The sequence below is a fragment of the Homo sapiens genome, chromosome 14 (assembly GCF_000001405.40).
Source record: "Homo sapiens chromosome 14, GRCh38.p14 Primary Assembly".
In the NCBI taxonomy this organism is placed as follows: Eukaryota; Metazoa; Chordata; class Mammalia; order Primates; family Hominidae; genus Homo; species Homo sapiens.
This window is the reverse complement of record NC_000014.9, coordinates 68,394,730-68,422,684: the sequence shown is the minus strand read 5'-3', so window position 1 is coordinate 68,422,684 and position 27,955 is coordinate 68,394,730. Positions and strand designations below refer to the sequence as shown.

Sequence of the window (27,955 nt, the reverse complement as noted above, 5' to 3'; positions counted from 1 at the left end):
AGACTAACATAAAGTCAAACAGAATGCTAGAGACTTATTTGATTCATTTCTCCTCAAACCTCCACAATGTAAACCTTTTGTCTGCTTCCCATTCCTCTACCCCTAATTTTTTTTTTTTTTTTTTTGAGATGGAGACTCGCCATGTCACCCAGGCTGGAGTGCAGTGGTGCGATCTTGGCTCACTGCAACTTCCACCTCCCGGGTTCAAGCAATTCCCTGCCTCAGCCTCCCAAGTAGCTGGGATTACAGGTGTCTGCCACCATACTTGGCTAATTTTTGTATTTTTAGTAGAGACGGGGTTTCACCACCTTGGCCAGGCTGGGCTCAAACTCCTGACCTCGTGATCCACCTGCCTCGGCCTCCCAAAGTGCTGGGATTACAGGCGTGAGCTGCCGCACCCAACCTCCTCTACCCCTAATTTTATAAGCTATTAAGAATTTGGGTGCTCTGCGGACGCCACCGCTGAGGAAAACCGTGTACTATTAGCCATGGTCAACCCCACCATGTTCTTTGAATTTGCCGTCGACAGCGAGCCCTTGGGCCATGTCTCCTTCGAGCTGTTTGCAGACAAGATCCCAAAGACAGCAGAAAATTTTCGTGCTCCGAGCACTGGAGAGAAAGGATTTGGTTATAAGGTTTCCTGCTTTCACAGAATTATTCCAGGGTTTATGTGTCAGGGTGGTGACTGTGAAGTCACCATAATGGCACTGGTGGCAAGTCCATCTACACGGAGAAATTTGAAAATGAGAACTTCATCCTAAAGCATACAGGTCCTGGCATCTTGTCCATGGCAAATGCTGGACCCAACACAAATGGTTCCCAGTTTTTCATCTGCACTGCCAAGACTGAGTGGTTGGATGGCAAGCACGTGCTCTTTGGCAAAGTGAAAGAAGGCACGAATATTGTGGAGGCATGGAGTGCTTTGGGTCCAGGAATGGCAAGACCAGCAAGAAGATCACCATTGCTGACTGTGGACAACTCGAATAAGTTTGACTTGTGTTTTATCTTAACCACCAGACCATTCCTTCCGTAGCTCAGGAGAGCACCCCTCCACCCCGTTTGCTCGCAGTATCCTAGAATCTTTGTGCTCTCGCTGCAGTTCCCTTTGGGTTCCATGTTTTCCTTGTTCCCTCCCATGCCTAGATGGATTGCAGAGTTAAGTTTATGATTATGAAATAAAAACTAAATAACAACAACAAAAAAGAAAGAATTTGGAAGGGCCTGAGGTCCCCCCACTCCACTCATTGCACCCATCAGTGACATCAAGAAAGGACTTGAAATGAAAACTAGCATTGTACCATGCTGTGCACCTCACAGCCACAGCCACCCCAGGAGATAAGCAGAGGCCACAGGCTCAGGCGGCGTAGCATCTCACAGCAGGGATACTCCCCCAGCAACAGCAGCCAGAAGACGAATGCTCCAAGCTGGACCTGCTTTAGCCACATGTGTGATAAGCTTTCAAATCTCACACACACAAGCAGAGGAAGGGGCACTTCAGAATCACAGGAAAATGCCAGGAGTATTTCAAAGTCAAATAATGCCTAGAGCAAGAGAAAAAAAGCAAGAAGAAGCTCCTCATCTCACTGCTTTCATGTTCCTGCCCCAGGGTGGGAGGGGCTATCCTAATACATAACTCACTAAGTTTTACAGGTAAACCAAATGACATTCTAGGTCTAATCATCGTTCAGGAAAGTCAGAGAGGAAGATAATAAGGACCATTCATTGCAACCCAGCAGAATCATCACCAAGTCAAGGCCTCCTTTTCTAGCACCTCATTTTATTCCTAAATTAAAACAGTGATAACTGTCAGAGGCATTTGAACCAGAGTGACTCTGTCTTGAAAACAAGCTGTAAAAATAAGGCTGAGACCTATTGGTCTGTATTCCCAGGAGGTTAGGCATTCCAAGTCACAGCATGAGATAGGAGGTCAGAAAAGATACAGGTCACAAAGACATTGCTGATAAAGCAGGTTGCAGTAAAGAAGTTGGCCAAAGCCCACCAATCCAAGATGATGATGAACATGATCTCTGGTGTCCTCACTGCTCATTATACGCTAATTATAATGCATTAGCATGTTAAAAGACACTCCCACCAACATCATGACAGTTTACAAATGGCATGACAACATCAGGAAGTTACCGTATATGGTCTAAAAAGGGGAGGAACGCCCAGTTCTGGGAATTGCCCACCTCTTTACAGGAAAACTCATGAATAATCCACTTCTTGTTTAGCATATAATAAAAAAAAAACCCATAAAAATAGCGAGCCAGCAGCTCTTCGGGTTGCTGTGCTGTGGAGTAGCCATACTTTATTCCTTTACTTTCTTAATAAACTTGCTTTCACTTTATGAACTCTGGCACAAAGTAGACTCTTTATGGACTCACCCCAAATTCTTTCTTGCATGAGGTCCAAGAACCCTCTCTTGGGGTCTGGATTGAGATCCCTTTCCGGTAACACAACCACCATCTTACATCTCAGAGCACATGGTACAGGAAAAAGAACTGAGGGTCTGGAACTATACAAACTTGGTTTCAAATATTGATGCTATCACTGAATATGAGTTATTTATGTTATCAGCTAAGTTCTTCTATTTGTAAAAATAGAGATGATCAGATCTATGCTGAAGGGTTATTGGAGGAATTGATGGAAATAAAACACAAAGGGTCAAAAATGATCCCTGCAAACTCATAGGTACTCAGTAAAGGCTAACTCCTTTCCATCACTAGAAAATAAAGAGGAATTTAAATTAGTATCACCTGGTGCACAAGAACCAAGCAAGGATGTTGTCCATTATCAACTATGGGACCCTAGGATGGCAGGAAATGGGTTCCCACACAGGCTGCTGCCTGCCCTCAGCCTCTCTTCCTCCCTCTGTCCTGCCCTGCTTTTTCAAAATAAAGATTGACTGACTCAAAAATGTGATAACCAAAAAGCTCCCATGCTCGCAAGATCAGACAAAGTTGGTTCTCCCATTACACACCTTTAGCCTATGAAGATGGGGACTAGGGAGCCAGGATTTAAGGGAGATGTCCATGAGCACAAATGGCTGTCTGTAGGAGAGCGGTAGCATAGCCAGCCCTGTGGCAGGATGTTGTCTATAAGGAAAGTCACTTGACTGGGGAGTTCATGCTCACTGTGAAGTTTAACTTGGAAAAAGCCACATATTCAGATTTGGGTTCAAGAATTTAAAAGATGACTTTTATCTTGTAATTGATTGCAATGTGGGGTGAGATGGTGCTTAAATTTTTTTTTTTTCCTGCACAGTTCTTTAGGAGCTCTTTATAAACCACTGAAAGTCATGAGAGATATAAATATATCACCTGCAAACCCAATAATTTGATTGGGTTTGGGGACTTTTTTGCCTAGAATCTATCTACTAAAAGTCACCAGAGTAAAGTGAAAATAGCAACACATTCAGAATTGAAAGAATTGAATTTCTGTTCCATTTCTGCTACCTACTAGTTGTGTGACCCTGAATAAATTAGTTAATATCAATTGCTTACCGCCATCTGTAAAACAAAGGGGCTAGAATGGAGTATGAAACTGAAGAACACCCATGTAAGAATCACCCAAAGTGCTTGCTAAAAACTGCAGATCCTAGGCTTGGCACTGCCCTCACTGAATACAGCACTGGGGATGGGGCCTGGGATCTTCATTGTTCACAAACACCTGGGATTTTTAAATTTACTGTACTTGAGACTCACTGGAGAAGATGATCTCTAGACTGTATCTCAGATGGGCACTGTCATATTCTAAATGCTTTTTGTTCTAGTGAAAGTGCTGATTCATTTGTAAATCAGTTCATAGTTTAGGCAGGTATTGAACCCTTCTTTCCTTTTTACTTTCCCTAGCCAATGAGGTTGCCCATTTTCTTCTCACTCACAGCTAACCAGCTAAGGCTAAAATAAAACATCCTGTCCAATCTTCATTCTCAAATGAGCCAAATAAATTTCAAGGTCCTTGACTTTCAGGGCAGCGCCTTGTCCAAGAGATCTCATAGCTGTTTCCGATGTTGTTTCCCAACTGAAAATATTTTTCTTCCCAAGCCAGACAACAGGGTCTTCAATTTGGTTCCAAAGCCCTGTGTCTCTTCTACTTCCTGCAACTGCTCAGATTTCTCTAGAAATCTCCTGCCCAGGTATTTGGCCTAGTTTACTTAGCAAGTTAGAGCAGGCAGGGTCACTGCACAAGGGGAATTGGTACCAGACAAACAGCATATAAAAATAAAATAAGTCAGAGCTGGAGGAGAACAACAGAGGTGATAAAATGCTAGTGAAATGAGTGGCTCATTAAAGGGTAAACCACCTACATGCTCTGTAAGAGGACCAGTCATTTGTCCTGTGATGGTCAGAGCTCATGCGCCTCAAAGAGAGAAGTAAGGACATGTGCTAAGTCTGCCATAAAAAGAAATGTTTTCAGTTTAAATATATCAATACATGTATTCTTCCTTCTAGATATGTCCTTTCTACTTTTTGGTGTTAAAGTGCCTTTACCTTTTTGAAATGGTGGTAACGGTTAATTTTGTAACTATATTTGATAAAAAATGATGTTTAAAACATCATGGTGGTATACTCTGGTTTCTCTTCAAATCGCGTAAATCTTTCGCCTTTTAAAACATCATGGTGGTTCTCTCACCCGTGTTTTGTTTTTATTTTATTTGGCTCAAAATCTCCTAGGAAAGACTGACTCTCCACCTTAGCAAAGGTACACGGTCTATCGTGGTCAAAGCATGGGAAAGGGGACCCTTCATCTCCAGCGTGGGAGTCATTGTACCTGTGTATTTTCAGCTGGCAATTTCCAGCGGAACCCTCTTAAGAGAAAGTTCTCTCTACTTGAGCTCATTCAGAAATAGTGATTTCTTGGATATATTGACTTTTTTCAAAGGGAGTCCCATGGTTTGCTTGTTTGTTTGTGGGTGGTAGGAAAGATACAGGTATTCTTATCTCAAATGTGGAGATGGAAATGGGAGATGACCACTTGGGTGTCTGTGTTGCCCTTTCTCAGTCCCTGCACTGTGAGTAGCAGCTCATTGTATTCATTCACTGGGACCACACACTTTCCGTAGGATTTCCTCAGATTTTAATACATTTGCCTAGTGCCTAGTGCCAATACATTGCCTGAAAAAAGGGATTCTTTTAATGCCACCATTCTGGGTTCCCCTTTTATTTATTTCCCCAATCCACTTAATACCTGTTAGAGCACTTCTGTTGCAAGAGTGTGGGCAGGGGCTTGGATTTCACACTTGAGCAGCTCTGGAAAGGGAGGAGACATTTATACCCAAGATAATGTACTTGACTGGATTTTATGTTCCCTTTGCTATTTCTATAGGTATTTATGCTTAAAAAGAGTTTTCATCTACCCCTGCAGCACAGCCGAACTTCTCCTCTGGCGGGATCTAGTCACACACACACATACTCACATAATCCTCCTTGCCTAAAAACAGCAGGTGAGCTGGAGTAGAAAACAAGAGAACAAGTACAGCGACCTGGAACCATGCCACCAAGGGAGAGAGGTTCCTTTTGAGTTAGGGCAACTAAGCCTGAATCCTTCTTTGGAGGAATCTAGGAGTAGGGAGATATACAACTATGACTTACATCAGGTAAAACATCATCCTCGATATCTTTCTTTGGGTGAATATGAATATAAGCCTGACATGCTGCCCCACATCTACCCTTTAGCTTATCTGGGAAAAAAAATTTATCAACTTTTCTTTGGTTATTCAGTCTTTCATTAAGCCTGTCCAACCACAGAGAGGAGAAGTTAAGACTTGTAGAAGATAGCAACAAAGATTTCCTACCCTCCTCATGCTATCTGGTCCCTGAAAGCAGCTGCAGAACCCTTCTCTCCCTCAGCCTGGGTCTGTGTTTAGGGTTCTGGCTTGCTTACACAAAGGCTATCCCATAAGATTCCAGGGGAAGCCTGACTCCCATCCTCCCATAGACTACAGCAGGCTGGTTCTGCAAAAAGTATTCCTATCTTCAGTATTCTTACAGTATTTCTATTTAAGTATCTGCTTATAATTGTCAAGGTTTGATGCTAACATTTTAAACCGACAATTACTAACATTTTAAAGGAATGGTTAAATTGTAAAACTCAATTTCTATGCGGAAGAATGATTCTAAATAAGCAGTCCTTCGTCCTTCAGACTGGGTTCACGAGTAGCTACAGGGAGTGCATTTCTTTTTCTTGCTTTCTCTCTCTCTTTCAAAATAAATGTATCTACTGTGTAAGTGTCAAGCACTGCCCTTACATTTGAGGGTATGCAGATAAATTCAGTTATAGACCTCAAGGGGCTCATAATTCAGGGCTCAGAAGTCTAAGAATAGAGACAAGGGCCAGGTGCAAGTGTGGGCCAGAGGGAAGAGGGACGGATCACAGCTGGTGTCAGGGAAGTCTTCACAGTGATGATATTTGAGTCTTCGAAAATATAAAATGGACACTGAGAATCCTATCACCAGAAAGGAAACATTGAATATTTCCAAGATGCAAAGAAATACTTCCAAGATGCAATACTTCTAAGATGCAAAACTAGGACTTTGAGAAAAGCCTACAGATTCAAGTGTGGATCAGCAGCTTGAGTGATATTGGTTCTGTCAACAATTTACTAGGTACTTCAGGCTCGCCCCTCAAGCATCCCATAATTTCAGGGTGCCTCCTAAATAGAAATGAAAATATTATTAGAAAGTTCATTTAAATAAACCTCCTATATGAAAAAAAGACCTCTTTCCAATTTGTTGAAATAAGAGAGTCATAATATTTATTTCATCAAGCGGGTGTGAGGCTTAGTCAGGATTCATTTACTTCATTACTCTTTCTAGGGCACTTGAAAATTTATATAATCCCATTTGTAGTTTGTAAGACCAGACTTCATGAGGATTTGAGGAGAAATTGTATAAATGTGAATATTTTTATCGAGTTTTTCTTCCTTCTTTCAAGTATAACCAGCCTTACTCTAGCTTTTCCAGCCCTCGCTAGAAGGCACTTTGTAATAGCAAGAGTTTCCCAAGTGAAGGCCTCGGCCACTCCTCTCTGCCTCATGCTCTGCCTCATTCATCGCTAGAGAACCTTCCTTAGTGCCAGGACCCCCCATCTCCTCTAGACTTACTTCATTCACTGTGCTCTTACTGCAAGTCCGGTTTACATGCTTATCTGTTTCCTCAAGTAGACTGTGAACAACCAGAGGGTATCAACCATCTCTTACCTGTTTTTGTTTTCTTGAATCTCCAGCGCAACTAGTTACACAGTGACTAGCAGAGAAGAGGTGATTAAATAAAGGTTTGTCAAATGAATGAGTGCCCAAACCCTCTGCTCTTGTTACAAGGCAAAACCCAGCCTGTGCCCTCTGACGATGCAGCCTATCCTCCTGTTTGTTCTTCAGCTGCAGCTCACTCTACCCCAGCACCTCCCCTTTCTGACTACCTGAATCTTATCTATTATTTAAGGCAGAGGTTCCCAACCTTGGCTGCACATTAGAATCACATGGGGGAGCTTTACAAATAAAATAAACACTGATGCTCAGCTCTACTGGCAGAGATTTTGATTTAACTGGTCAGGGTGGGGCATTGGCATTGGTATAAATGCTCCTGTGATGAGCCTTAAGTGCAGCCAGGTTTGAGAACCACTGATTTTTTTTTTTTTTTTTTTTTTTTTTTTGAGACAGAGTCTTGCTCTGTCACCCAGGCTTGAGTGCAGTGGCACACTCTCTACTCACTGTAACCTTTGCCTCCTGGGTTCAAGTGATTCTCCTACCTCAGCCTCCTGGGTAGCTGGGACTACAGGTATGCGCCACCACGCCTGGCTATTTTTTTTTTTTTTTTTTTTTTTTAGTAGAGATGGGGTTTTACCATGTTGGTCAGGCTGGTCTCGAACTCCTGACCTGAGGCGATTCACCCACCTTGGCCTCCCAAAAGTGCTGGGATTACAGGCATGAGCCACTGCGTCCTGCCGAGAATCACTGATTTTAAGGTAATACTCAAGTCTCACCTTTTCCTGAAAAGACTTAATATGCCTCTGATGATGTTACCTTCCTTTAGAGTCAAAGCAGTTACTGTTTTAACCACTCATTAGACAACAAATCAAACACTGCCTTGTAACAGTACCTCAGTATTAGTTTGTTTGGACCTCGAGGGCAGGAACTAGTCTTCTACTTCTTTATATCCCCATACCATGCACGGGGTAGACCAAAACATATTTTCGATGGTTTAAAACAACAACAACTACAAAAAGTAGGAGAGGCCATTTTAATTCTACTCTAAGAACATGTCTTTGGTAAGAATAAAAATGTTGCAAAAAGGGTGGGGCAGGATTGAAGCAGAGTAGGAAAAGAGTAAATAAAAGTCAAATGGAAAAAAAGCTAAATTAGTCCAAAAGAAAATGTTTTCCAGCTTCTTAAGAGAGTTTTTGCAAACACTGAAGCAGAATAAGCAAGAAAATTAACTTGGCTTGTGGCCCTGATAAGATTTCTTTCTTGGTTATAAAATTTTGCAAAGTTTCCAGGGTGTAAAGAAAATAATCAGCCAGGGAGGACTCCTTCCCTCAGACAACACAATTCAGCTCTTGGGTTAATCGGCTTGAAGGTCTGCTCAGCTTGACCTGACCCCCTTCCAGGCCTGTGATCTGAAACTAAGCCTCACATTCAAGAGCCCTGGTGTAGAGCTCAATGTCATAGAAACGGGATAAAATATAATCCTCATCCCATAACCTTGATCCCTGGGTGTAGTGGCCTCTGCTTGGGCATTGGAAAAAAAACCCTAAAAAACAAAAAACTATACCTGTTATCTTCTCTAAGTGGCTGGTGTCCCAGAGGTCTTACTACCCTAGAATTATCTAGGCACGTTCTGCTACTAAATGGTGTTATAAGAAAGTACTACTTGGTGCAATTACCTTAAAGGTTAGCTTTAAAGTACTGTTTTATGCACATATCCCAGAAAAGCCTTCGCTTCGTATGGCTTCTATGGTTTTTCATAAAATAAGACCACAGGAAAGACTCAGGGAATCACTAAGCACACCCTCTGCTAAGGCAAGATAAGGTCACTAGACAGAGACATGTTTTTTCTATATCAAACTTTATTCTAGTTATTAGGTCACAAATTTAACAACTGGTCCCCAAAGGCATGCATATTTCTATAGATTAATTAAATGTATGTTCTTTGCCTGGGTTGGCCATTTTAACACTGGCCATATTTTACATTAATTTCTAATTATTGTTTGAAAACATGATTCCAAGGCATTTAAGTCTGCTTCTTATTGATTAGTAATGATAGTAACAAGTTGTCTTTTGTAAATTAAGATAACATGACTGACCCATCTAATGGGATGGGAGTTGATGAACTGTCACTGATCCATCTACACTTTGCTCCTGGTTCTCCTTATGACCACTGGCCTGCATTTGACCTTATCAGCCAAAAGCCAAGAGCCACCAACATCCTCCAGTCACCAAAGAGACATAAAAAATAGCATTTGTCCTACCAGCTACTTCCTGTTGACACTGACTGGTTAATTTATTAAAACAAAAGAAAAGTAAAAATATGGCTCTAATTTCTTTATTCACTTATAAATTCTAACTGGAATTAGTAAAACTAGGATTTGGGAGCCTTGAACCCATGATACCATATATAATAGATGAAATCATAAATTCCGTGTGTAACAGTAAGAATGGCTTCTAAAATCTAAAACCTGAAACAGAGATAAACTATAAGTTTTCAAGGAGTGGGATCAAGGATCCATGAAAACGAATGACTCAACATTGATTCACAAGGAATTTTGCTTCCTCTGATAAAGTTTACATAGGTGTGTTCAACAATCCTTAATGATATCCCTGAAAGCTGCAACACAGCTATTTAACATGATTTACTACCAAAGGTCATTAGATTCCCCAGGAATATTTTGGAATGTGTTCCACTAAAAAGAGAAATAACAGCTTCAGAACCTAGGATACCAGACTCTTCAGGGAAAAGGTGCCATTGAGGTAATGAGTAGTCCAGGGCCTGAAAACTCAAGAATGTTTCCCTGAATAGAAACAAGCAGCTCTATCTTCTCAGGACATGGCTGACGTGATCACCAAGCTGGAATATTATTTACATAGTCCAAAGCAAACCAAGAAGAATTCTCTGGTTTGGAAAATTATGTCTAGAACAGGCAATAGCTCACGCCTGTTTTTGATGATTCCTGCTTCCTTGAAAAAGAGCCAGTTTACCTAATGCAGGTAAAGGCAACAACAGCTTTTCTGCCATTTTCTCCAGAAAGGATCACCAGTGTGACATTTCATGCCTCTGTATCTAAATGGCCTGGATTTGATATATATTTAGCAAGGTGGGCAAATCTGGCTTCTGAATTCTGTCCTATCCAAAAAATCAAAATAATCACCCGTCTTCTTCCTCCTGCTTTTAGGAGAAACTAGATTGAATCTGGTCACACAGCAGGATAAAGTTGAGGTTAGTCATTAGGAAAAAGAATTTTTTTATTATGAAACATTTTACCAAAGCTTTACCAAAGAGGTCAGACAGTGGTGTCCTTTTCTTTGGAATGAAGAATGAAGACAGAAGACTTAAAAGGAGGTAGAAAGTAAACTTTCTGGATGTAAGGGAAGGATTTTCAGTTTTGGCCAGGATAGAAACCACAAATAGGGAACTCTGAGAAAGTGACCAACCATTTGGAGGTCTTTCTAGCATCATTCAGTACTTTACACTACAGGTGTATGCGTTAATGTAAAAGTACCTAGTATCTGGGGAATAATTTATTCACTTGGCAGCATCTGCTGGCCTAAGATTTTCAAAGTACACATACTTCAAGAAAAAGCATCATCATTATTTAATTCATATACAAATTAGTCCTCAACAAATACAATCTAAGTGAAATGATCATTTAGAGATAGAGAATTGGATACCCTTAGAGGTGTGGTCCTTGGTCACTTACAAATATCAGAGAAATGCTGACTCTGTGGGATCAATTCTTATGTTTTTTCCTGTGTGTGACTTGTCTCCCCACTTTATTATAACTGTTGTTGGGACAAGCAGAAATGCTGGTTTCTTTAGGCCCTAATAGCTGCTGCTGGCTCAGGACAGACAATGCGGCCAGCATTTTCAGAAGACGCTCAGATTGCTTGGTATATCTCATTCCCCGACCTTCATAGTCAGAGAATACTGTCAAAGCACCCACCTGTCTTCTCTCTGAATCAAGGTACTGGAGGATCAGCCGGGTATTCACACTGTGACTCCAGGTATTTCCTAGTGCGGCTATCACACAGCTGGATCCAGAAGTGCCTGAAATGAAATGGTAAAAGCACGCTTTCAGATGCCCTTTCTTGAGATGGCATTTCACATGAAGTCCAGACATTACTCATTGCCAGTAGTCCAGAGAGTACTTGGAGGCTCAGTTCATTACCACAGAACTTGAGGAATCAGTGAAGTAGGAGAGGGGTTAAGGAATATGAGACTAAAAACCAGCAGGGGTTTCCTTCAGCCTTGGTGAAAGTGACCACCACTGGGCCAAATAATAACAGAGTTATATATCAAAAAGAGGTTGCATTGCAAGATAGCTCAGAGCCATTGCTACTAGTAAATCTAGCCATTCAATATCTAAGGCATAATGCTACTCCACAGAATAAGAACCAGTTATGAAATAGTCTTAGTTTAATAGAGTTGTTAGACATTTTTAGCTAGACAAGAGTCTTAACTCAATTTTCCCTATCAATATAGAAATGGTGGCATATACATGTAAAATTCCCTGGTCCTCCCACCCCCCCGTATACACAACGCAAAAAAAGGAATCTAGAAGATCTCAGCATTTCATAGGTAAGCTGTTTTAGACATCCCTATTCCAAGAGAAACATTCCTTTACCTTCTAAGACTTTCCTATAAGGAAGAGGGTCTGAAGTAAACTCTATCTGAGTTCCTAGCCTCCTCCAAATTGCATCTTACATCTCCAAAGCTTTACTGACCCTTCTTGATATCACCATGAGAAAACCCTTTCTGTTCCCTACCTGCTCCTTCCCCCTTGAAGGCAAGCCAACAAGTCCTGCTGCATAGAAGCCAGCTCCCACTATCATGTCCAGCACATCCCAAGGCCTCCTCTGAACCCCTGTGCCCTGTGCCCGAGGCCTCCTCTGAACCCCTGTGCCCTGTGCCCAAGGCCTCCTCTGAACCAACTTTGGCCCTAGGCCATGACAGGAATCCTAACCTTAGGAGGGCACAGTTGGACATTTAGTGTGCCTTGTTGCCTCCAGATGCGATCTTTTTTCTATGAGGAGACTACATAGAGGTTGAAGTCCACTGAATTAGCTAAAACAAAATGAGGCCTTGAATGTGTCATCCGTTGTCCCCTTACTACATCATCTGATTTGTACGCCTCAGTGTGGAGTAGGAATTGGTCTTTTTTTTTCCAGGGCAGACACCTTTCAGGGTGGTCTACTAACTGCACATGGCCTTAAGCACCTGGGCCCAAATGCTGCAACAGACAAATGTAGTTCAGTGGTTCTTGGCTGGAGGGTGATTTTATTGGCAATGTCTAACTCGCAGTGTTACTGGCATCTAGAGGGTAGAGGCTGGTGATGCTGCTAACCATTTTATAATGCATAGGACAGCATCCTACAACAAAGAATTATCCAGCCCAAAATACAGCAGTGCTGAAGTTGAGAACCCCTGGGTCAGATAACACCAACCATATATATCTATTTCCTGGTTCAAGCAGGAACAGGAATGAATGAGATGGAAATCAATAACCAAGGTCTCAACAAGCCTGGGGATATCAGATTGAAAGAGAATTTAGTGTAAGAAAGAATAAAATTTGGGGTAACCTCAGTTCATTATGCACACAATTCAAAATATGCACAAATTAATGTGAAAACAAATAATCTAGATTGTTCCGATCTGATCACATCATTCCCCTACTTAAAATGCCTTCAGTAGTCCTTCATGCCTGAGATTAAATACTATCTCCTAAACAATGCACTCTGAGCACTTTGTCAGCTGCCTCTGCATCTCTCTCTGGCTTCACCTCTCTCAGCCTCCTCACTGGATGGTCTCCCATGACCTCCTGACTTCCCTGGCCTCATCCTCCTTGACCTCTTGTCAGCAGTTGATAAAGCTTCCCCCTTCCTTGGCATCCAATCTACTGGCCTCTTCTGCTTCTCCTTTTACCATGTTGATTACTCCTTTCCTTTTTCTGCCTTTGTTTTCTCTTTCTTCTTAGTTGTGGGTGGACCTTAGGGAGTGGGGCATGACCACATTTTTTCTTGTCTAATACCAGATGCTTTCAGTATCCAGGAAAATAATGTACATTAGTAAAGAGGCCAAGTGCTTGCATATTAACATGTAGAACTTCTTCACCCCCACTAAGAGATATAGTCTTTACCATTTCTCTTGAAATTCACAACCCTCTCAGTCTAACTTTTCATTTTCCCCTTTTTGATAGAAATAGACTTATAGAAAAATATTTTCTACTATAAGAAAATCAACACTGCAAGGGCAATAGCAACTATATTTGCATTTTAGAAAAACAGCTCTATTGAGATAATTTGCTATCATACCTCCTCCAATTTCAAGTGTACAGTTCAGCAGCTTTTTCTATATTCACAGAGATGTTCAGCCATTACCACAATTAACTTTAGAACATTTCAAACCCCTAAAAAGAAATCCCACACCCACTGGCCATCAGTCCCCAACACCTCATTCCCTGCCCACCTCCAGCTCTTGGCAACCATTAACCTATTTTTTTTTTCTCTATAGATTTAGTAACTGACTTTCAATTAAAGCCTTAGGAGATGAGGGGAAGTGGTGAGTACTGTGGTGAGTTCGAGAATTCATCCAGGATCTCAAGGGGGCAGTCTCTGTTCAGCTCTAGCTGTTGTCATGTGGCAATGTGAGTTCATAGTTAGTCACATCTTATTTATTTATTTTAAAATTGTAAAAAACTTTTATAATCACATCTTTTGATTTTTAAAAATCATAGTGATATGATTTTTTAATTGCGCTAACTTTAAAGCGCAATTTTGATTTTTAAAACGGAAGCCAGAAATCAATGCTTTTTAAGTATAATTTCCTGATTTTAAAATGTTGGTTCAATATTTACACTTTTAAAAACACACAAATAAACATGCTTTTGAGCCAGATATGCCTCATTCCCATCAAGCTTGCAGTGTCTGCTCTACATGGCATGGCTCCACTTTGAAAAGGATGAGAGCCCATTTGACAAGGTGGATGGTTTCTACGCCTTTGTCGCAACCTTTGGCTTGTCTCAACACTTGTCTTCCACTTTTAACCACAAGAACTGCAAGTCTACATCATAAATTTTAGCACTGCAAATTCAGTATCATCAAAGCAAGCTCATATTTTCCCATATAAATCTACTCCATCTCTGTTCCTTCCTTTGACCCTCCAGTTAATCTGGTTTAAAACCTCAGCTCCATTTTCAAAATGTTTCCTTCTCTCATGCTTCTCACTTGCAATAAATTGAGAGGTCTTACTGATTTAACTGTAAAATCCTACCTATATCCATCCATTCATTTCTCCTACCTCACCCTTAGATCCATTCCTGACTCTCCATTCCTCCTAAATCAACCTTAGACCCACATTAGCTTTCACCTGGTGTGACTGCTTTAGTTGCCTGTTGTCTGTGCTGCTGTGGCTTTCTCCCTACTAAAGCCACCCTCTGTTTTACTACCTGATTAACCTCCTCCAAGCACACACCTAAGCACACCACCCTCCCATTTACAACCAGCAGGCTCAAAACCTTTCAGTGGCTCCCAAGTGTCTTCAGAGAATTCTAAATTCCTAACACTGGCATTCAAGGACTTTCTACCCTGCGCCCACCTGCCCTTCCAGACTTCTTCCCCCTGCTCCATTTCCCACAACTGTGTTCCTACTTAATCACTTATTTCCCATGTCCCTCCCTCATCTGGAACTCCCCTATGTTCACATGTCCCAAATCTACTCTGCCTTCAATGCTACTTCCTATGTGCCAATTTCTCTAATCTTCACAGAAATAATGTCTTCCTCCTGTAAACTTCTATAATACTTTATTTTACTGTCTCATATTACAATCATTTTCTACCTGTGGTATATTATTTGTGTGCTTTTCTTATCACCTTTAATACAGAGTCGTGCTCTGCACAATGATGTTTCAGCAAATGACAGACTGCAAATATGACAGTGGCCCCATAACATTATCATGCAGCTAATAAATTCCTATCACCTAGTGATGTCACAGCAATGGTAACATCATAGCACAATGCATACTCACATGCTTGTGGTGATGCAGGGTAAATAAACCTACTATAATCTCAGCTGTATAAAAGTATAGCACATACAGTTATGCATAGTACATAATACTTGATCTTATTATATGTATTTACTATACTTTTTATCAATATTTTAGAGTCTATTCTACTTATAATAACCAGTTTAGTAAATACAAAAACCAGTTATGTAGTTACTACACTTTTATGTATTTACTATACTTTTTATCATATCTATATTGATGTATTTACTATATATACTTTTATGTAGTTTATGTATTTACTATACTTTTAATGTATTTACTATACTTTTATGTACTATGTACTTACTATACTTTTTTTAATCATGATTTTAGAGTATATTCTACTTATTTTAAGAAGTTAACTGTAAAACAGCCTCAGGAAGATCCTTCAGGAGGTATTGCAGAAGAAGGCATTGTTATCATAGGAGATGACAGCTTCATGCGTGTTATTGCCCCTGAAGACTTTCCAGTGAGACAAGATGGGCGGGTGGAAGACAGTGATATTGATGATATTGATCCTGTGTAGTCCTAGGCTAATGTGTGTGTCTGTGTCTTAATTTTTAACAAAAAAGTTTAAAAAGGTAAAAAAATCTAAAAAACAGAAATAAGATTATAGAATAAGGATATAAAGAAAATGTTTTTGAACAGCTATGCAATGTTTGTATTTTCAGTTATGTTATTACAAGATCAAAAAGTTAAAAAATTAAAACATTTATGAAGTAAAAAAGTGATAGTAATCAAAGGTTAATTTATTATTGAAGAAAGAAAAATGTCTCTATCAATGAATATAGCCTAAGGATACGGGGTTTATGAAGTCTACAGTAGTGTACAGCAGTGTCCTAGGCCTTCATGTTCATTCATCAGTAGGTGCACTCACCAACGGACCCAGAGCAACTCCAGTCCTATAAGCTGCAGTCATAGTAAGTGCCCTACACAGGTGTACCATTTTTAATCCTTTTACCATTTTTATTGTACCTTTTCTGTTTAGATGTGTTTAGATACACAAATACTTACTACTGTGTTCCAATTGCCTATAGTATTCAGTACAGCAACATGCTGAATGGGTCTGTAGACTAGGAGCAATGGGCTATACTATACAGCCTGGGTTTGTAGTAGGCTATACCATCTCAGTTTGTGTAAATACATTCTATGATGTTCACACAATGTCAAAATTGCTTAATGATGCATTTCTCAGAACCCATCTTCATTGTTAAGTGACATATGACTGTATATTATAAAGAGGCCAAACCCACGCCTGATGTATGTCAGCATGCCTGAGTTACTTAACACAAGGTCTGAGACACAGAGGATGCTTATAATACTGACTAAATGACTAATTAAAAAGTTATTTCCACTAAATTTTGAATCATATTGTATCCTTGTTTTGGCAGCAGATTTACATCCTTAATTCTATCTTGCTTAGCTAAAATTAACAGGTTTACATTTTTCAAGTAAACTCTAGAAATTAGTTGCTTAGATGCCTGCTAAGTGATGGGATCAAGGGAGGCTAAGCTCTAAAGTTTGTCAAGAAAAAGCTACATGTGAATAATTAGGAGTTGCTAGTTAAGCACTCAAACTTTTTTTTTTTTTTTTTTTTTTTGGTGATAAACTGTAGGAGTTTCTCGGGTCTAAAGGAAGACACAGGATGTCTTCAGAGATTGGAGCCACATTTGGGCCAGGAGCAACTATTTAAAGGACTCCGCGTCGCTAAAACAATAAGAATAGTATAAAAAAGTACCCATGTATTTGGTTGTTTTCTGGACAGGTAAACCCAAGTCTTAAGTAAGGGCCATGAGTACAGATGACCACAGAAAAGTTTCCAAAGGAAACCCTGAGTGAGCAAGCTTGACTGTAGTCTACTATAGACTTTAAAAATATCCATTTGTATTTTTAGGAGTTCTTACAAATATTAATCCACCATAAAAGTAATAACAGCAAGGCCTTGAAAGTTAATGATAATGAAAGGCAATTTTTAAATTTTTTTTTAGAGAAAGGGTCTCCCTTATTGCCCAGGCTGGAATGCAGTAGTATGATCATAGCCCACTGTAACCTTGAATTCCCATGCTCAAGCAATCCTCCCACCTCAGCCTACCGAGTAGCTGGGACCACAGGCACATGCCACAATGATTGGCTAACTTATTTTTATTTTTCTGTAGAGACAGGGTCTCACTATGTTGCCCAAGGTGGAAAGGCAATATTTTTTAAGGTACTATGTGCTAGGCACTATGTAAGCTTAAATCTTGCTGAGCTTCATATCTTAGCTACATCTCTTTTGATCCTTACAACAATCCTATGAAGTGAGTAATATTAACATCCCTATTGACAGAATGAGGCTATGAGAAACTAAGTCACTCCAGTTCACATGGTTAGTTACTGACACAGCCAGGGTTCGAAACCAGGCCAACTGAGTTTTAACCACTACTCCAATTAGCTTTCTCTGGGCTTATCATGTCTCTCATGTCAAATAACGTGTTATTCTGCCAGCCCACAAGAGTCTTGAGAGCTCAAAGGCCCATCTCTGGGAGGATACCGATGGAAGTGTGTCATGAGGATCTTATCACTCATCTGAGCTCTGCATGTCACTCAGGCTCCATACTCGGCTTCCTCTGTTCTGATGTACAGTGATAACCCAGGGCAAGGGGTTTCCAGAAAGACAGCACATACTCTGGCTCAGCAAGTTACTTAATCTCACTCAACTGGCCCAGCAGCTGGATTCACGCAAGTCAGGTGGCCTGGAACTGATCCTCTCTGGTTGTAGAATTAAAAATCTGGCAAGGATTGGAAAGATAGTTTACTTAATAGGGCCTCAAGTATAGGAAAGCAATTGAAGGGTGATTGCAGTGATAGAATCACTTGAGAGAGGGAGGTAGGGAAACTGTAAGTTACTATAAAGTTGTGACCTTATTTTAAACTAGAAAACTTAGTGGTCTCTTATGTCTTTTGACTTTCAAGCATTCCTGTGAGAGGGCTGGCATAAATGATTGTTAATGCTGTTGATGGGAAATTTAAAGTAGGAGGAATCTGCCTACTGGCTTTTAAGAAAAGGTGATTTCCTGCAAGATGACCTAATTGGTTAGGAAACAGATAAGTGAACCTTCTCTATGTTCACTTTAAGAGGAAGTTCTAAAAATTGAGGTGCTCACTCCCTCTCTCTCCTTTTTGATGATTGTGATATTTAGACCTGCCAAAGCAGTATAACTTCATTGTCTGGAATTTGGTTAATTCCAATGCAAATACAAAAATCAAATACGTGAACTGAGCTTTGAAAATATTTTCATTTTTGAGGATTTTCATTGTTATGGGATTGAGCCTGTAGAAGTCTCTGTGTAAGCTACATAGAGCAAATCTAATCTACTCACACTGAAGTCAGGGCTCTGTAAAAGACTGTGGGAACATTCATTCTCCACTCTCTCAGAGACTCTTTTAGGTAAGTCAAAGCATGTTCTCTTTCTGTGATTGCTAACCCATCTGTAAAATGTGAATAATAATTCTGGCCTCCAGGCAACCAGAGGTTCTTGATGACCCTTAGATGAAGATACTTGATATGTATAAGTGACAGGAACAATGATGATCAAACACTGAAGATGAAATTCTAGGGAGGAAAGAAGTTTAATCATTATCTCCTGCATTTTTTATTCTGTTAACAATGAGGCAAGATAGTAAATCTTAGTTGCAAAGTGGTTAAAACACATGATTTGGATTCTGGAATATCTTTCATGACTATCTTTTGGATCCAATTCCTTACTCATTTGGTGTGGGAGTTGGTTATGAAGACGAATTTCTCACAAGGCAAGGAGCTGTCTCTCTGCTCTGTATACATGGGGTGTAGCCCTCGTGCAATCAGACTGGAGGAGGATAACCAGGTTGCTATGTAGCCTTGATTTCCAAAAAGGTGATGGGCTTCTGGTACCAACCCGTGTCAGTATTTAGAAGAGGCCTGTTGGAAAGCTCTTAATGAGAAAGCTCCTTCTCTGAAAACATTTCAATTTATGACTCCTGTGCTAAGCATTTCTAGGAGATCAAACTGAATCTCTAGTGCATAACAGAAAAGCATTTGCCCTGCAGCAAAAGGGTCAACTTTAAAAGAATGCTTTTCCATGTTAAAAAAAAAAAAGTCAAAAAAACAAAGCAATGACTCCCAAAATAGGAACAGAGGGGAAGGAAAAGTTCATGGCCTTAGCGGACTGGATATTCTGGATATTTGGTCCCTCCAGTCCCTGCAGATGAAAGCCCATTTATTTAGAGTAGAAAGAGGAAATTTAAAAAAATAAAGGAATAACAATACCTACAAATGTTTTCAGGATTGAAATAAATCCAGGGAAGAAGATGGTATGTTACCACTGGAACTGCATTCTCGTTCATATCTCTTGTCCTCACGTCCTGAAGCACATTCCATGTAATGCATGATAGCCTGTGGCCAGCTGCTGGCTAGAAAGCAGGACCCTGCAGTTCTATTTCTGACTCCGTCTGGGCTTTTGATGAGACCAGGTGGGAGAAGGAGAGTAGTGTAACAAAGAACCTCAGAGTAGGCCTTGGTAATGAGCAGTTACCTAACCTCACTGAGCCTCAGTTTCCTCATCCATGACAAGAAGGGGTAAATGACCTCAATAGTTCCTGCCTTATTAAAAAACTTTGAGTCTTTGGTATTTTGATGATATGAATGAGTTCCTCATCGAGAACCTCACTTGTTCCAGGAAGTTTGAGAATGCACCACTCCATGCGCTGTCTTTGAATCGCTGTGCCCTACCCAGCACCCGTTTGTGCTTGAAAAGAGCACAGGCATGGGTTCTTTTGCTGATAGCAGATTTCTCTCCAGACTAGAGATTTTCTTAGTCTACCCTACTTAGTAAGACTTTATGATGGGTAAACCTGTGCTGACCAGTGGCCAAGTCCCAGCAAACACAACTTCATAGTAACAAAGCTTAAAGACGGGAGTCTGAGTGCGAGACTAGGGATCAGAAGGATTCAATTCATTCATTCAATTCATCATCCATTCAATTCAGCTTCTCCTGTTTAAAACTAGGCCCCTGGCACTTGCTGAGCATGGTTCTTTATTGGACCATCCATTTGAACTGGGGAAGGGACTGAGAATCTTGGTTACCTCTCTTGGCAGGTCATCAGTTCTTGTTCCATTCAATGCAGAATTTTAGCAACAAAAGGCGAAGAGGATGAGTAAGTTATTAAAGCTGGGAAACTGCCTATAATAGGTTATTTTTAGAATAAAGATTCAAGATGACCTACAAGCTCTGTGAGACCACAGGACAAAGGTGTCAAAGAAAAGAGACTGGGATAGGCTCAGACATTTATCTTCCAGCAAAATTAATTTCCTTGAGGGCTTGTGGTTCACTAACTGAATCTGTGAACCAGCTGTATTTAGGGTGCATTCTACTTCCTTGGGTCTCTAAAATTGACAATGGTCTATAGGTCAGGTTCCAACGGAAGTGATATTTCTGACCTAGCTCTATAAATAGAGCACTGGAAAAAACCCATCAGCTGCAATGGCTCAGGGACCACACGCTATCTATTAAGTAAGCAACCGCAGTATTTGTGCTACCATTTTAGATACGAAAAAATATATCTTTTGTTATTTATAATCTTCTGAGCTTTGAGATTCTCAAAATACTTTAAAGCTATTAGTCGTCTTTCAGATTTATAAATACAGGATCTGAGGCATAAAACTATGTAATAACTGCTTCAACTAATACCATTTACCCACCGAGGAAGGCATTTGGCTGGTAAAGAATGGGCTGCTTCACTTTAGTAAAGCAGAAAATTTCATTCCTGATGTCTCTTGGCTGGAGGTGAAAGGAGTGAATGCAGTCCAGAGGCTTTACTTGCACAACATACCTAGGCTGATGCAAGTCTCAGCAAACTCGTTACTGAGAAAGGTAAGAAATGTGAAGCAGAAGACAGGAAGAAGTGAGGCAATCAGAACCTCTGGAATGCAAGAGTTAGGGATGGATCCTCCATAGCACAAGGTAGGGGAGAAGCGGGGGTGAGCCATCCACTAGGCTAGAGACTGGTATGCACCAGCACAAATCACTCAACAACTCCACTGGCTCATGGACAGGGAGAAAATACCTTCAGTTTCCCAGAGTCTTAACAAAATACTTTAAGTTCTTATCCAACCAGGACATTTTTGAAAATGAAATGGGGACATTTTAATAGTTATACTGGGATAACAGAGATAAACTGAGCTTGCCCTGAGAAAACCAAGACATATGTTATCCTACAGAGATACTATGTAGGAACTGTCCAGAATCACAGTGAGCATGCTCACTTTATACGAAAAGCTTCAGTCTGTACTAGGATTCTCTGCTGTGTCTGCAGTGTCGATCATCAAGGTCTCAAAGATGGCAAGGAAAACAATAGTAGGCATAAGAAGAACAGAACTAGATTGTCTGAATAAAAAGAAGCAATCTCCTCCCATCAGCTCAACTCCCAACATTCTCCAGGAGGCCATGCCCCTGAACCTTTTCTCCAATACAGCTTTCCCCTTGCTACCTTCTACTTAAGGAAAGGAAAAAAAAAATCCTGAATGGTGACTTGTAGTGAAATCTCTTGACCTTTGCAAATAAGTTTTTAATTAAAAATAAATTCACTCATTACAGAAAACACATATTACCCTTAAGTAAATACTAGCAAAATAAAACAAAGAAAACAAAAACCTAACCATTTAAAGAAATCTGTGGCACTTTCTCTTTAAATTTAGCTTCATTCAAGACAAGCCAGAAAGATGCTTGCATAAAATATGTTTTTTTTCCCCCACAGTGTGTTCTATCTGTTCACCATGAAATCCTCAGACCACACCTTTCAGCTGTCCTGGTATGAGCTTTGCTTTCCTGCTCCCATTGTAGAGTCAGAGGCAGCAGGCGGATACCAGAGTTGAATTCTAATAAGTCTTGTGTATTATACATGGTCACCATCTCATTTTTTGACCACTTGATGTTTGTTTCAGATGGCACTGGCTGAGGCAGAATGAATACAGCTGCTGATTCTGATCTCACACTGGGTATATCCCTGAGTGCTGGAAAAAACATCACCCTCAGAAGTGTGCATTCAGCCAGCTGCCTTTGGAGAGAGCTGGGAAGGGTGCAAAGTGGCATGTCCTTTACCAGTCACTCTTTCTGGGTAAGATTCAAACTACAGTGAAGTAACATTTGGTCGCTTTACATATCCAACGAAGTACTTTGGGACAAGGAGAAAGCCAGGTGGCCACCCACTTGACTGAACAGCAAGGGGACACACCAGCAGTCATGTGGTTTGCCTTCAGGAAATCAGCTCACAAGGCAAACCCAGGGCTGAGAGAGGGTCCTTTGCCCAGGCCTTAGCTTGTGAAGAATCAGGCCTGGGTAAGCCTGCTGTTGCTTCAGGCCCACTTTGGATCACTGGCTCTTTGCAAGCAGTAAGAACAGAAGAGAAAAGAAATATGATTTGTTTATTAGGAAATATGTTCTTGAAGAAAAATTTTTCTGGGAGAACATCAATGGCTTTAAAAACCATTAGTGCAAAAAGACATTTCAACTAAAATGCCATGTCTAATCCTGGACTGCATCCTGGAAAAAACTGCCATAGAGTACATTATTGGGACACCTGGCAAAGTTTGAATATTGCCAGTATATTATATAATAGTATTGTATCAATACTAATTTCCTGGGTGAGATCATTGTACTGTGGTTATGTAAGAGAAGTTCTTGTTCTTAAGAGATAAATGCTGAAGTATTTGGGGATGAAAGGATATGATATCTGTAACTTGCCCTCAGATGGTTCAGCAAAGATAATTATAATAAGTTAACAATATTATAAAATAAATTGGTAACTAATATACAAGAGATAAAAATAAATGAGGCAAAGTGTTAAAAATCAGGTAAAGAGCTGGGCTTGGTGGCTCACGCCTGTAATCCCGGCACTTTGGGAGGCCAAGGCGGGTGGATCATGAAGTCAGGAGATGGAGGCCATCCTGGCTAACACGGTGAAACCCCATCTCTACCAAAACTACTAAAAAATTAGCCGGGCATTGTGGCGGGTGCCTGTAGTCCCAGCTACTCGGGAGGCTGAGGCAGGAGAATGGCGTGAACCCGGGAAGAGGAGTTTGCAGTGAGCCGAGATTGCGCCACTGCACTCCAGCCTGGGCGACACAGTAAGACTCCATCTCAAAAAAAAAAAAAAACACAAAAAAAAATCAGGTAAAGGGTATATGGGGAGTTCAATATACTTTTCTTGGAACTTTTCTGTAGGTTTGAACTCTCCTTCCCCCCCAAAAAAATTAGTGGGAAAATGTAGGTTGGCCTTTCCAGAGAGATTACTTGGTCATTGATATAAAATCAAGACATGGGATTGGATCTCTGGAGAAATTACTAGGGCATTCATATGTTTCTATACATCAGAATCATCTGTTAACTTTGTAAAATGCAGAATCCTAGGCCCCATCCCAAACCTGATGAATCAGAATCTTTGGAGGTGATGCCCAAGAGTCCATATTTTCAAAAACCTCTCTCAGATGATCCTAATATATGCTAACATTTGAAAAAAAATCATGTATTAGGCATTTGCTGTTTTGCCTGCAATTACAGACTCCTCAGATCCCGCAGACAGTCCATGTACCATCATGCATGCATTTGTATTAGAAAATCTCCACCTAGTATCTTGTGATGTGGCTCTGTGTCCTTTTAATCTCAGAAGACATCATTCTGGAGAATGCCCTTTAGCCAGTTTTTAAGACTGACTTAATCCCCCACCCTGCTTCCCAAGAGGAATAGAGAGAAGAGATGTAAATACCCTTTAGAACTGCCATAATTCATCTGCTTGGAGCTGTTGTCTGAGGAGACACCCAAAATATTAATTCAGAGAGACTTGGTAGGAGGGGCGGCTGATAGCCTGGGCATGAAACAGGCCAGGGCTGGTTACCGGGCCCAGGTCCTCACTCAGAGACCCTCATTAAGGCCCCTCCTCAGTCTTGCTCCTTGACCTGCATTGCTTCAAGACACCAAACAAGGGTCAGCTTTCAGAGTTCACACTCTGCTGTGTTTCCTCAGTGACAGCAGGAACAGAGTGCAAGTAGGGGAGCAAAAAGAATCAAGTGAGACAAGACAGAAATGCTGAGGTGCTTTGAAAACTCCAGAGTGCCTAAGTGCATCTGATGAATTTGACTTAAAGTGCTTCCTTTGATCCCACAACATGGATACAATCCTTATTCCCGTTTCATAGGCAGAGAAGTGACTTGACCACCAAAATTCACCTGGTCAGAGGGAGAGCTGGGCCCCGGCCCAGGCCTTCCCCAGCTTTAGCTGTCCCAGCTGCCTGCTGCCCTGGCACTGGAGAGCACGTCATGGTGGAGAATGCTTTCAATTATCACCTTGCCCAGAGTGTGAGGATTTATGGTTATGCTTTCCTCCCTCCCCATCTCCATCAGCCTCTTTGGGAAGCAGAGGATCCTGATAGGAATCAGCATATGTTCCTGCGTGGGAGGGAATGGAATGCTGGCCTCACATATGTTTGCTGCCCTCGAGGCTCTGAGAAGGGGGTGGGGGAAGAAGTAAAATGTTGACATTTGGTGGAGGCAATCCCAGTGTCCTTTGCTCCCAGAATTTTAGACCAGAACCCGAACGTTTTTGTTTCCCACACTGGTAAATTCACTCTGGCTGCAGAGTTCCTTCAATGCAGTGTGCTTCCTTGGCCATCTGGACCCGGCTTTCTGAGGCAAGGCTGAGGGAAGCTGCTACACTTCTCCTTTTGGGGGCCTACACACACACACACGAGGGGTGTCCCCATGGCCACCATGCCAACACAAGGCTCACCACAAACTGGGGCCACAGGAGGGAGGAAAACTCCATTTATGACAGGAATTCGCAGCTCACAAGTTTCAAGGTCCAAACAGTGTGCAGTTTACCAGGGTGTGGGGCTTAGGCAATGGAGATGACCTTGCTTTAACTTCCTCAAGTATCTCTTCACAAGCATGTCCCAATCCCCGGGGAGTGGAGGGTAGGGCAGTCAAGTACTTTCAGGCAGCCGCCTCATGGCGGGAGAGGGAGCTCATGAACAAAATGTGCTGAGGCTAGCAGGGTTATTTTAATTGGGGGAACTGGTTTTGGTGTCAGTAGCCAGTCAGTTCACATCTGCAAAATATGAATTCTTAAGCAAACCAATTTCCTTCTTCCTCGAAGGCCAATGCTTATCCAGAAATGAGACAGAACTATGGGTTTACTGCAAATGACCAGCATCCGCAAAGTGATCAAGACTACCAACTTTGGGTAATGTGTCCCACATCTCAGATGTCAGTTGATATAAGACATTACAGTAAAGAATTATGAGGTAACACTTTGGGATAATTATTGTTTTCCAGGCTAAACACCTTACATACATTATCTCTGTGAGGGAGGTACCATTATCATACCAATTTTCTAGTGAAGGAAGCTGCGCTACAAAGAAAGTGATTTGCCCAAGGCCACCTGGCAAGTGGCAGAGTCAGGATTTAAACCCCAGAGTCTGATTCATTATTTTTCTTTTCATTGTTTCTTTTGGCCATTTAGATATTACAAGAATGGCCATTAATCTCCCTTTCTAGGAGGGAAAATGCATGGAAACTACCCCCTCCCCGCCCCAATTTTCTGGACATCCCATTCATTTTCTTTTCCTCATTAAATTATAATATTCAGTTTCTTATTCAGAGTCATTTGGGCCTTTCTAGAAAAGCATATTTTAATAATGTTCTCTCCCTATTGTTGGGAAACTCTTAGTCATACGACAGGTTTCTAGAAATTGATACCAAAAGAAAAATAAATCTCCAGGTTTTCTCCAACTGAAAATATGTAAGGTGATCCCAGTTGCCAAAATCATGACTGGCTTTCCTTCTATGACTATCATCTCCACATCTGGTTCACCTTCTTTGCCAGAAGTACATGATCATATATCTTTCTGTATCTTAGGATGTTTCACTATTTTATGACATTTCTAAATAGAATCGCTGTGTTAATCATCATTATAATCTGATAATTACATTATTTATTTTATCAGTGTTCACTCTGCAATGAAAAAATGAACCAGCAGAAGGTGAATGTGAAAGACTAAGAAGAGCCCTGCAGAAAACCCGTTAGCCCATGTTTTCATCTGTAATGTGGATGTGGGATAGGAAGAGGGACAACGACATAGTACCGACCAGGTTCCAGAAACTATTCCAAGTGCTTTACGTGATAAAAATCTCTTAATTGTCTCAACGACCATACGAAGTATATCTCTAGTGTTGCCCCTATTTTATAGATGACAAAACCTTACTGATATCTGTATAGCTAGTAAGTAGGAGAGACAGGATTCAATCTGTCAGCCCAACTCTGCCGGTGCCCGTGTCCCTGCTCTGTGATCCTGACAGGCAGCCACAGCCAGGAGTCCGTCCTTGTTTTAGATATTTCCCATGTCTGCTGCTCAACTAGACCCTAACGGTGGATTCTTGGTACATCCTTACCCAAGGATAACCCATAAGTTTTCATGACATTACCACGGACTCGTCTTGCTTGTGAAACCAAGTAATAGTAAAAACAGAAGAATCATGTGTTAAAAATTTTTTGAAGTAAATGATTCTGTCATCATTATTCTTAAAGAAAGTGATGTACCCAAGGTCACACACTTAGTCACTGGTCAGTCCTGGGGCAAACACCCCTTGATGTCCAGCCCTTGAGTCAGGATGATTGCTTCATCTAGAAGGCACCATGGGCACTCTGCCTGAATCCAGGAACCTCTGGAGTTGTATATGGCTCTGTCCAAGACAAAGGAATCCGCTGTACCAGATCCACAGAAGCCCTGGCTCTAAATTAAAAACAGCACAACAACAACATTGCAGCAACAACAAAATAGTAATACAATAAAAGGTGGGAAGACCTCGAGAGCATAAAAATTTCCTTAAACTGATCATCAAGGAAAGGAAAGGGAGGATTCCTTCTTTAAAGAGGCAAGTGCCTGCCAGCAGGAACCTAAAACTCATTATTATTCTGTATTTTCTTTTTTCATGACTAAAAAGTTTTTCTATCCTCCCCCTTCCTATCCCTATCAAAAGACTACCCCCTCCACAAGACAATCACAAACTTTAAAAGTAGCAAGCCCTCACTTCAAACAAAATGTAAAAATAAAAATTCAAAAACCCATAGTGTTTGCAAAACAGCTTTGTATGGAGGAAGGGCAAATCTTATCTTAAGAGAGGCTAATTTCATAGGAATCGGGCAAAGAGAGGAGAGGTAGAAAGGGTGGGAGCACAGAAGAAGGGGAGGCGGGAGAGGAGGGGATAAAGGAGGAAGAATCGCTGGCTTTAAAAAGCAACATTGTCCAGAGAGGTGAAAGGGAACAGATGGCCGTGGAGAATGTGGCCCTCAAAGCCTGAAGAAAGGGGGGGATGCCGACAGATCTTGCTGTTTCCCATTGATGCCTGAATGTTCTGGTGCGGGGAGCCGAGGCCAGTGCAGGGGACGGACCTCTGTTCCCAGCAGCTCACTGGGGCACTGGCGCTGAGGCTCACTGAGAAAAAGAGCAGGCGGGGGTGAGGGGGGCTGGAGGCAGCTGTGGCTGCAGAGGGAAAGGACAGTGGGCAGCATCGGAGACGTGCGGCTTCCACAGCCTTCTCTTTTGGCCCAGCCCAGGGAGGTCAGCCCAGTGCTGGTCTTTGCCCTGGCAGAGGTGAAGTAAAGGACAGGAGCCCGGGCCCAAAGCCTCAGCA

General features: G+C 41.3%; 1 protein-coding gene, 1 long non-coding RNA gene and 1 pseudogene across 14 annotated transcripts in view, besides 2 other annotated features; 2 read left to right on the top strand and 1 right to left on the bottom strand.

Moving 5' to 3' along the window:
- Positions 1-27,955, bottom strand: part of RAD51B (RAD51 paralog B) — an 863,318-nt gene that overhangs the window by 260,412 nt on the left and 574,951 nt on the right. For all 12 annotated transcript variants that reach the window (NM_001321818.2, NM_001321809.2, NM_001321821.2 and 9 more), the window contains one exon: positions 11,158-11,261. In NM_001321818.2, coding sequence (NP_001308747.1) covers positions 11,158-11,261 — 104 coding nt within the window. The remainder of the gene's footprint in view (positions 1-11,157; positions 11,262-27,955) is intronic.
- On the top strand, positions 449-1,193 carry PPIAP6 (peptidylprolyl isomerase A pseudogene 6; annotated as a pseudogene).
- On the top strand, positions 18,363-27,389 carry LOC101927971 (uncharacterized). Of its 2 annotated transcripts, none has more exons than XR_245776.5 (4): positions 18,363-18,682; positions 22,214-22,386; positions 25,419-25,505; positions 26,269-27,389. It is a non-coding gene; the product is annotated as an uncharacterized LOC101927971 (long non-coding RNA). The 2 variants fall into 2 exon arrangements; XR_001750993.2 differs by having other exon boundaries at positions 25,419-25,566.
- Positions 18,466-18,625: an enhancer, noted in NCBI's record as "active region_8608". NCBI's record gives its function as "activates an Ori minimal core promoter by ATAC-STARR-seq in GM12878 lymphoblastoid cells {active_cell/tissue: GM12878}" and the evidence as "EXISTENCE:reporter gene assay evidence [ECO:0000049][PMID:35858748]".
- Positions 24,796-25,522: an enhancer, noted in NCBI's record as "H3K4me1 hESC enhancer chr14:68863880-68864606 (GRCh37/hg19 assembly coordinates)". NCBI's record gives its function as "activates a minimal SCP1, AML or CMV promoter by ChIP-STARR-seq in naive H9 embryonic stem cells {active_cell/tissue: H9 hESC(naive)}" and the evidence as "EXISTENCE:reporter gene assay evidence [ECO:0000049][PMID:30033119]".